This window comes from Homo sapiens, chromosome 4, assembly GCF_000001405.40.
Source record: "Homo sapiens chromosome 4, GRCh38.p14 Primary Assembly".
NCBI lineage: Eukaryota > Metazoa > Chordata > Mammalia > Primates > Hominidae > Homo > Homo sapiens.
Window position 1 is genome coordinate 84,397,356 of NC_000004.12, and position 11,437 is coordinate 84,408,792.

The window sequence follows — 11,437 nt, forward strand, 5'->3', positions numbered from 1 at the left end:
TGATGTCAATAAGTTTTCTTTCACTAAGTTCCCCGGGCTGCATACTGAAAGTCTCTTGAACAGTAACAGTATCAACAGTCTGTCAGTCAGTTATTTCTTCTATAACTCCACTTAAGTTTGATTTGAATTTCACGTCCAAGATGACCACTTCTCATTTCTCTGCTACAATTTTATCTTTGTTGGATGATTCCCTCTTTTCATTGTCTATTTTTGTAAAATGCCACATGGGTTCATCAGTCTCCCAAACCATGCATCTGCCCCTCTGAGGGTGTCTTGTTTACGACTTTATGTCTAGTATGCAGCATGGTGAGTATGCAATAAATATTTGGTGAGTGAAAAGAAAAAAGATAAGGAGGCAATGCAACTAGACACTTTACTGTCTGCGCATGAGCTGAATAACAGATCCTCTGAGACAAATCACTGACAGATTTTGAAAGAAATGATGTGCTTGGTCACTGATCATAATGCATACCTGTTATTTACATAGTGATTGGTAGACTGAAGAGCCAGCCTCAACGTTTCTACTTTATGCAATTATTCACAGTTAATATGCCATAGTGAATGAAATTTGAACTATATTTTTGGGAGGCTGCTGTTGATTAAGTAAGCCATGGTAACTGAAACTTATTCATATAGAATCTTGCAAAGTAGGGACCGCCTATATTTGATATCCAATGGTTTCTGGACTTGGTATGAGAACCTAGCTAACCAACATATGATGAAAGGAATCTGTGTCCATCTTGGCCAAGGGGTACCTGAATGAGAACATATTTGATTTCTTATACATATAATGTGTATATCCACCTCCTAGGGACTATGCCTAAACTCATGGATTACAACGGTTAAGTGTATATCTTTTGAAATCTGATTGAACTGAGTTCAAATGTTATTTAATCTCTCACAAACTCAGTTTCCTCACATGTAAAAGCCTATCTCAAATAATTGTTGTGAGTACTGAGAGATAATATAAGCAAGAACACAAGTGTAATATTGTTAGCACAGGGTCTGGCTTGTAGGAGGGTTCATTAAATGGTATTTTTAGTAGTAGAAGTGCTGATGGTGGTCATGCCATGGTGATGCAGTGTTGGATACCCAAAAGAGGAATGGAATACTGGACTTTAAAAAATAATAGAACTGAAGTACATAATTGAAATCCTTGAGCTTCCCAGAAGGTTATTATGGCACAGATTTATAATGAACTCATAGAACATTGACTCTGAAAATCTAGAACTTTAAATAGGTTAAAATGCCTCCAGTTCAGGGAAAAATGAGCAAATAAGCTTTGATATCTATCCATGCCAAGTCATAGTGCCAAAAAGCATTTATGTCTCCATTGTGAGCTTTATCCAACATCCATTTACCAGTTCCTGGTTTGCAAATCCAATTGCTCTAGAATAGCAATTTGAACATCAAAATTGGCAATATTTTAAGCTTGATACATTAGAGCTGCTAGCATGATGGCACAATTGTAGGAAAGAGTTCAGCTTGCCCATTGCAAAAGCTTCCCATGAATTTACCTTTGAGCAGCTTGACTTTTGTTAACCATCTGAATGCCATATACATTTAGGAAATTTGAAGGGACAATATCCTAATTAGGGACAAGTTAAATTTACTTACACTGAATTATAAAAAAGGCTAGTGTTAATCAAACAATTGAAAAGTCTTTGACCTTTACAATTGTATTTCCTAAATTGTGTTCTGTGGAGCATCAGTACTCCTTGTGATAGTAATATATATTCCACACAAAAAAAGAGAAGGAGGAGTTTCATCGTCATGAATCTAGAGATTCATAATGGTTCATTAGCAAGCTAAAGACAGCATTTCTGCAGAAAAAAAATCAAATGTGGCTAATCACATTTCCCAAATATATTGAGCCTAAAAAACTAAAGCCAAACAAGACAAAAACTATTACTTTCTCACAGAATACAGTGTTGCATGTAACAGTTTTGAAAAGCCTCAGAAAAAGTATAAATGAAATTGGGGTTCAAACCATTACCAGATTCACATCTTGAGACACAGAGGATATTTTAATAGTATTTCTGCACTATGTCCTTGACCATCTATGCATTTGGAAATAAAGTTCAGGTAACTTTCAGCAGCATTCACAAAATTATTCACAAATTTGCCTAAAATGTCTTATTCTGACACAAATTCTCCTTCCCTCCATTCCACTGCATTCCCCACACTGGACCATGCTGTGTTCCTAGAGAACCACTTTTCTCATTGGATAGAGTTCCTTGCTCAGTCATCTTAACTGGTCCCCTAATTCAGTTTGTCAACAACAACAAAACATTTTCAATTCCTCTGATAAACTCCTGGTTCTGTGTTGAGAGAAACGCAAATGATATGTAAGCTCTGGTACTTGGCCTTAAGGGTCTTACAGTTTAGTAGGAGAAGCAAAATTGACAAATGTAAAGCAGTTAAAAATAACTCCAGAAGTTTTCAAACAGGCGAAAAAGTCAACATGGACTGAGATAACTGGAGAAGGCTTGGTGGAGAAAATGGACTTGAGCACATGAATAGGATTTAGAAAAGTGTGGAGGAAGAGGGGAGATTTCAAAGAAGTAAGCATGAGCAAAGTCAAATGGCAGGAAGAAGTATTTGGATTTGGGAGGATATAGAGGGAAAAAAGGTATACAAATCTGACTGGAGTGGAACATTGATGGTGTGTGTGGAAAGAAATAAGATAGGCTAAATACAATGGGCTCTCCACAGTGGACAATCCTGACTGTCACATTAAGGAGTTGGATTTGTTTTGTTAAGTAGGAGGACATGGTGATTAAGGATGAGATACAAATTTGAGCCTGGTCATACAATACTCAAATGAATCTTCTAGAAAGATTAGTCTTGAATCTCACATAGAGAGGTTTAAGACAGAGAGAAAGATGCCAAAGGCCAGGATGGAAGTTAGAATGCTTCTGAGGTAATCCATGTGTTGAGGCTCTTGACAGGGAGGGATAAACAGGAATAAAGAAGGAAATGTAAATCCAAAAATTTGAAGGCACACATGAGAAGATTTTGCACAAGAAAAAGGTAGAGTTGGACACAATCCCCAAAGTTTTTAGTCTAGGACATGAATGATTCTAAGAACCAAGTTTTGGGGGAAGAAAATAAACATTTACTAAATAGTGAATGAAAAAGATTTTTTCCATGGCTTTCTAGTCTATTCATCCATAATTTACTTCCAATCTACATATCCTATGTTATCTTCCACTACCTATTTATTAATTCAACAATGACTTTATAAATTGTATGCCAAGCAATATTCTAGGCACTGGAGAAATAAAAATATGTAGTACAGTTTGAGGCAAAAGTTGGAGATGGGTAATGGGTATGTAAATGAACAATTATAAAATTTGAAATTTCTGTGTATGTTTCCTACTTTCCTATTTTCAGATTAGAGGGGATAGATGCTAATATTAATTGAGCTCTTACTATACACCAGGACTTTTTAGAGTCATCTAACTTAATTTCTACACCAACACAAAGAAGTAGATATTGTTATTCTCATTTTTCTTTATCAAAATCACCACCTGTTAGCTTCCCTCTATACAGAACCCCTGAGGATGCCCACAATGTGAAAGAATCCAAGCCCCTGAAAAATATTGCTTTCTATCTTGACATAACTACCAAGGCGCCTGGACTGATGGCAGGGACCCTTCACTGTGAAAAAAACAAGACTTGTCAAGCCCTTTAAAGCTTCAAAAATTCTACCCCAGTTCCAAGACCGACTGACCAGATTTTATGGATTTTAACACTTTTTTATATATTTCAACATCTTGAAGTTGGAATGCATCTTAGAGTCAAAAAGATAACCTATTCCTCTGGCAAAGAAGGGTCCCTTTCATCCATCCAGGTGCCGCTGGTATCTGTGTCTAGAGAAAAAGCAATGTCTTGCGTCATGGAAACTGTTAATTTTGTGCTACACTTTTTGTGCTGTTTTCCCATCACAGAGGTTGCTATCTGTATCCAAAATTAGTTGTTTCATTAATTATTTTTAAAAATCACCCACAAAACAACACTGGAGGATTTCATTTCCAATCCACATTTTATTATCATCTTTAATTTAAAGTGCAAGCAGGAAAATTATTTCCTTAACAAGTGAGAATTATTCTTCAAATATTAAATATTACTTTTGGAAAAGTATTATAATTATTGTGTCATTAGTTTTTTTGTTACTTTTATAGTGTGTTTCTTTACCACGATTTGCTCATAAAATTAATGAAAAGGTAGCCATCTGTAATTAGACCTTCTCTCCAGATATAAAATAAAATCAGTACATTGTGACCAAAACCAATTTAACCCCAAAAGTTTCATTTCAAACAAAGTGAGAAATAAATATTAGCAATTCTTGACTCTGGGAAGTGTCAGACTACAATGAGCCTAAGACTGGAGTAGCAGCTTGACACATGAACATTTTACGACAGGTAGCCAACTCAGCTCTTTAGGTTTTGTCCTGCTGCCAGTGTTTTTGCTTGGCATGACTTCAAGGGCCTTATGTGTTCAACCCAAGGCAGCCCCCTTCAGGATACATGAGCCAAGCTAACTGCATGCAAACCAGGCTGGGTCTTGGAATCAGTTTACATGGGCATGTTGTCAGAGAAAGATGTTTATGTGTGTGAGAGTCTTAAAGGGCTGAATAGAAAGATCAGAAGCAAGGTTAAGCAGAATGGGGCTGGGAAGAATTCCACACGTCCTTAGAGGACAGGCAGGGGATAAAAGAAGGTACAGTAGGGAGGCAAAAACAGAAGTGCATTCTTCACAGTCTGGCTGGCAAGCCCCGCAACAGTGCCATTCTTCAAACAAAACCTCCCTTGGCCTCAGATTCTCCACTGGTCATGCCAGCTCTATTGATTTACACAAAGCCTTCAAGGCTTTGATCAGCTACCAAATTGCAAACATTTTAAGCAATGCTCCAAACATGTAAAAGTTTAAAACAGTCCATTAACAATCTCATGTAGAAATGTGTATACATATATGATCATCCATGCATGGTTCTATGCACAAGAATATTTTTACACAGTCTATTAACAATGCCACATATTTATCACACATATTCACTTCAAGTCCAAGGAAACGTCATTTGCAAATGTAAAGTCAAAAATACAAAACTAAACTCTTCTCTCATTGAACCTCACACTCAACCCCCCACTCAAAGAGTGAAAAAAGAAATTATACTCCATCCACCCATCAGACATGAAAAGGGTGATTTATAGTTGTGTTTATTCAGACCATAAATTATTTCACAAAGTAGGATTTTAGGATGTGAATTAATCACATAATTTTAGAGGCCACAAACATTCAAATGATCATTTCCAACTTTTTACTTCTTATTGACTGTTCTATACTTTTAGAGGCCTCAAACATTCAAATGACATTTCCAAATTTTTTACTTTTATTGACTGTCCAAGTGCTTGTCAATCTGATAAATGCCTGGTACATTATAACAATCAAATGGCTTCTAAAAATAATGCCCCATTACACATGTCAAATGCCAACCTCTGTGGACCTCTGGCTGCACACTGAGAGTCTCCTGTACTAACAAGAGTAACAGTGTGAACAGTCTCTCCAGTCAGTTATTCCTTCTAAAACTCCACTTAAGTTTGATTTGAATTTTATGTCCAAGATGATCACTTTTCATTTCTCTGCTCAATTTTATCTTTGTTGGCTGATTCCCTCTTTTCATTATCTATTTTTGTAAAATGCCACATGGGTGGACCCTGAGATCTTGCTCAACCTGAAACATTGACTCAGTATGCTAGCTTTAGAGAGCAACTGGCAAGATTTCTACCTATGAAATAGGCAGCCAGGAGGTTTAACGGTATGGCTCCTGTACTTTAAAGAAATTACTAAATAATATTTTTCTGCCTGAGTCATTTGGATTCTATTTCTGGACTTTGTGAGTATGAAGAGATCCATTTCATAAAAATATGCACTTCATCCATTCTAATAGAATAAGAGGACCTGGCTCCAAACTACTACTTTAAAAAACAAAAACAAGCAAACAAAAACCATTGACTCACAGGTCCAGAGATAAGTTTCCCTTAACAAAGTCATTATGAATATACAAGCTATTATAGGTTACAATCATGACCAAAGCTGACTTTCAGCTAAGACTTCTTCTAGCTAGAAAGGCAGCAGGACAGCAGTTTCCTAAGTTACAGTGGTACATGAGCCTGAGGAGACAGCAGAACTGCCTGAGGCAAGAGGCAGCAGAATTTCAGTTCTTCAGTCCCCAAAAGAATTCCAAACACTGTTCTATCTCAGTAATTTCTAGCCTTTAAATTCTGATTGATCCTGAGCCCAGTGTTTTCTACACTGAAGTTCAAGCTGAAGAGGTGCTACAAAATTTTAAAACACATAGCATCTCTGGGCTACGAATAACACAGGCCTTTCCCAACTCTACTAAATAAATTCCTTCTGGAATGAGTCAAGCCCTCTCTGAAACCCACATGAAAGAGAAGTATCCTCCAGATTCATAAACACTAAAGATTCAACCATGATCTTCCCTTTGTGGGTTGAAACTCCCCTAGCCTGATTGGCCAAACGAGGCTCCCCACTCACTCTCTTCCTGCCAGCTCAGCAAACTTCCTCAAAGCTACCTTCCTTTTATTCTGTATCTTCTTATGCTATTACCAATGTTTCGGAGAAAAGTAAAGTTCACAATGTGTGCCACCCTGGCCCCCACCGCCCACTTCATTTTACAAAGCCTTCCCATACTAAGTTTAAACAAAGTATAATGAAGTATTTTGTTCTTCTATTTAATCAACAATTTATTCAAGCCCTCTTAAAAATATATGACCAGAGAGAGCCATGGAGAAAGGCAGTGCTATAGAGGGGCTGAAGATGCCAGCCCTGGAGTCAGGCAAATCTGGGTTAACTGCGACTCGGCTCCTACTAGCTGGGGGGGGGCTCTGGGCATGCACTGTCTGCTCAAGCTCCTGTGTTTTCATCTACAAAATGTGCAGGAAGTAACTTGCAGAATTGGGGCAGATTAAATGAAACACAGTGTGTAAAGAAGGAGTCTAGCCCATGTCCCTTCTCATGACTGTGGAACACAGAAACCTTGAAACTGCCTCAAACAGACGAATATGTATAAGACGAGAGGTTACCCACCGTTGCTTAGTTAAATTGCCTGGGTTAGAATCACAGCTCCATCACTTATAATCTGGAAGACCTCTATATTCCTCAACTTCCTCATCTTCCTCATCTCTAAAATGTAGCTCATCATAGTACCCACCTTATAAAGTTGTTGAGAGAATGGAATGAGAGAGTGCTGGGAAGATGCTTAACCAAGTACTACCACATTGTTGTGGTCGTCTGTCCATGTATGCAGGATGACTTTAAAAATATTAACTGAGTTTCTTTATTGTAGAGAGGCTGGAAGTTACTGAGATAGAACAGTGTTTGAAATTCTTTTGGGGACTAAAGAACTGAAGACTAAAAGCATGAACACAGAGCACAACTGGTCACTAAGGTATTTACGGCCTAATGAAAAGGTGTTGGAACAGGGGACACAGCACTGTCAGCCTAAGGTACCAAGAGTTGCAAGTGAAGTGTTCATTGTGTAATCTCCCTTAGATTAATTGATCAATGTCTGTCTATGTGTATAGGGTGACTTTAAAAATATTAACTGAATTTCTTTCTGTTTTCTCCAATGGAGATTCACTCTTGTCACTTATTCTTCCCAGAAGATATTTAAAATAATCTTAAATGAGAATGTGATTCATCCCTACATTTTTTAAAAGTACATCTGAGTTCTACACTGACTACAGCCTGATGCAGTCAGGGACTGGACATCACTGAATCCTGTCCAGCTGATTTGCCAACTCCTCTGCCATCACCAGCCTCACTCATTTGGCCACAGCAGTTACAGTTCCGAAACACAGCTGATTCCTATGCCCAAATTCTTGCAATTTTAATAACCTGAACAACTGATTTTATTACAATGTCAGGTATGACACAAAAGATAACATGTAAATTTTGAAGTTTAAAAGCTGTCTCCAGTCACTGTGGCTGGCTCCTGTAATCCCAGCATTTTGGGAGGCCAATGTGGGAGGATCACTTGAGGCCAGGAGCTCAAGACAAGCCTGGGCAACATAGCAAGACCCTGTCTCTACAAAAAATTAAAAAATCAGCTGAGTGTGGTGGTGCACACCTGTAGTCCCAGCTACTCAGCTTGATGAGGCAGGAGGATCACTTGAGCCCAGGAGTTCAAGGCTGCAGTGAGCTGTGATTGCACCACTACACTCCAGCTTGGGCAACAGAGCAAGACATTGTCTCAATAAATAGATAAATAAAATAAAACTGCCCCAAAAATATGCAAAATGAGTTTATATCTAATCCCATTTCTAATCTGCAGCAAATACTGTGACCTTATTCAAGTCTTTCCGTCTCTGAGCATTACTTTTCTCCTACAAGAAATGAAGGGGTAGACTTCTAGACCTAAGCTCTGAAATACTATTGTGCACGATTCCATTCTCCCTAACCCCAGCAACGAAGAAATAAGGCACACATTTCTGGTTTGGATTTGACCTCCTTGTGTCCTGCTTAGTCTGGAAAAGGCAGTACAGGCACACCTCAAATATATCGCAGGTTTGGTTCCAGACCACCACAATAAAACAAAGATAGCAATAAAGCAAGTCACACAAATTTTTTGGTTTCCCAGTGTGTGTAAAGTTATGTTGACAATATACTATAGTCTGTTAAGTGTGAAATAGCATGATGTCTAAAAAACAATGTGCATACCTTCATTTTAAAATACTTTATTGCCAAATGTGTAAAAAGCACAACAGCTGTGAAGCATGATAAAGTGAAGCTCAATAAAACAAGTTATGTCTGTGTAGCACTGTGTGTGGCACATGGCTCCAGTGCCAGGTTGCCCAGGTTTGAGTCTGAGTTCTGCTCCTACTCTCTCCACCTGCAAGCTCAGCAGGATCCAGCAGTCAGACAGAGAAGCCAGTTGCTAGAGATGGGAAGTGGTAAGAGCAGTGGAGGAAAGAAGGGTGAGTGCAGAGGGCAGAGGATCGGACACACACAGTTGTGCTACATACCTCGTGGGGTTGGTGTGAGAATAAAATAAGTCAATATACAAAGAGGATAGAGTAGTGCCTGGCACAGACTGAGGGCTACTTAAGTTTTAGCTATTATTATCGGGACATAACACAAACACTCAATAAATGTTCACTGTGCTGAAATGAACATCAGCTATGAGCCAGGCACTTGACATATGTTGTGCATTTCATTCTCGCAACCCTGAGAAGAAGAAATTATTCCCATTGTATATATAATAAATCAGAAAATAGACTCAGGGAGGTACAATAATAGATTGAAGAGGAAGAATAAACTGGCATTCAATGCCAAGATGCATGCTAAAATGCAGCATTGTCTGATAACAAAATACATATTAAATATTATTTTCCATATAATAAACAATATAGAAAGAATGAACCCTTTCACTTTCACTCTAATATTGGGCATCACTTCAGGAAATTGTGAATAAAGTTTGTTTACCTATTTTTACATGAACCTTGAAGTCTCCAAGAATATCCTCATGAATCTACTAGGAACAGGAATCTAGGCTAACATGATCACTTAAATCCATCATAGAATTAAATCAACGTTATTCTCTTATGATCAAAGTTCCTTGGGTTAAAGTAATAGAAACATCAAACTTGCTTAAGCAAAAAAGGAGGATTTATTTTAAGAAAACAGAGTCAGAGAACCCCAGGGAGAGAATGTGGCCAGGTCTCAAAGGACTAGACGCGGAGCCTGGAATGCTGGCAAGAAGGCAGCTACCACTCTCGGGCTCTCTCTCCTATAGGGCGTTACAGTCTCCATCACCCCTCTTTACTGATCAACTTTCTCTGCGTCTCTATGCTCCTTATATCATCATCCACAGCTCCTTACTCAGAACATTCGTGCAACTGACCCAGGCTGAGATTAGCATCTGTCAGTCCCAATTCAGAGTTCTCAGAGTAACTATATAGAATAGGCATTCCAAGATCTCCCTCTCTCTCTCTCTCTCTCTCTCTCACACACACACACACACACACACACACACACACACACACACAAAACCTAGACAGCACCCTGAGCCTCTAGCAAAATGAATTGCTGCTACTTTGTTACATCTCTACCCATTTTGTCATCAGAATACTCAGGAAAGTCTGAGCGTACTCAAAGGACAGTCCAGTTCTCAGGCATGTACAGCCAATAGAGAAACTGGGGGGGAGATTTTGAAATTGGACGCATCTGAGCTGCCAGAAAATTGCCTAGAAGCAGCAGCTGAGCAGTGGCTGAGAGTGGGCCTTGATGTGATACTTAATCAGATGATGATGAGGGAGGGGCCCTGCCAGCCAACAAACCAGCCGCCCGCCAGGAGCCCCGGGAATAGGGAGCAGTCTGCTGTAGAATTCTCTCACAATGGCCTGGCAGAAATGGATGGTCCACACAAGGAAGGATCAATTGTAAAAAGTGGAATTAGTCATTCTAAATCATGCAGCTGTGGTCGAAGGGAGCTCTTCTAAAAATCATTAAACAATCATGTATTCCTATTGATTTATTCAAAATACCTTGAGGGAAAGCAGATTAAACACAAGGTAAAAGTAAGCTAATGCAGATTAAATGGATGAAGGATGGGCCGAGAGTTCCCTAGGTAGTTTTTGTACTAATGAGAGGAAAATTATATGTACACTATTACCAGGATAAAAGGGTCTATTAGAGGTCTTTTGCTTGACATATTTATGTATTTCAAATACTAAGTAGCATAGTGAATTAGGTTTACTCTGGACATTTGTTATTTTTATTGCATCTCCAAAGTGATAAACAGAGTTCTCTGTTGAGGCAGCATGCTGCCTCACTCCAGGAAGCCCTGCCTGAATAGACAAATCCTGATGCCAGAGCTGTTCCCTGGATGTCATTTATTAACAAACCCAGTGCAGTTGGACTGCAAAGACCAGGCCTTTAAAGTCCAAGAGCAACATGCATAACCCAGAGGTAGGAAGAAGCTGCAGTGCTTATGGTGTCTGTTCCCTAGGCCACATTTACAGATGGCCTTTCTTCTTCCAGTGGAGTCTTTCCAAACACCTTATCACATAAGGAAACCAGAAATGTGATGCCTATGTTATCCACATATTCTGGCATGTGTGGTAATTACAGCAGGTGTTATGATCCTCAGAGAAAGAAATGGAAGCAGAGAAATCATAAGTGAGGAGCCCAAGGGCATGCAACTAGTGAGAATTGGAATCAAGACCTCAAATATTTCTGTTCCCTTGTTCAGGGGCTTCCAGCTATACTGTTTACTAGTGAAATTTGCACTCGTGGACTACAATCTTACAAAAAGTCCTATTGTCACTCAACTCCTTGGATGTTTAAAACCAGACTCACTGCTCTCCCCAGACCAATTCCATCCTCCACACTCCTCACTACCACTACC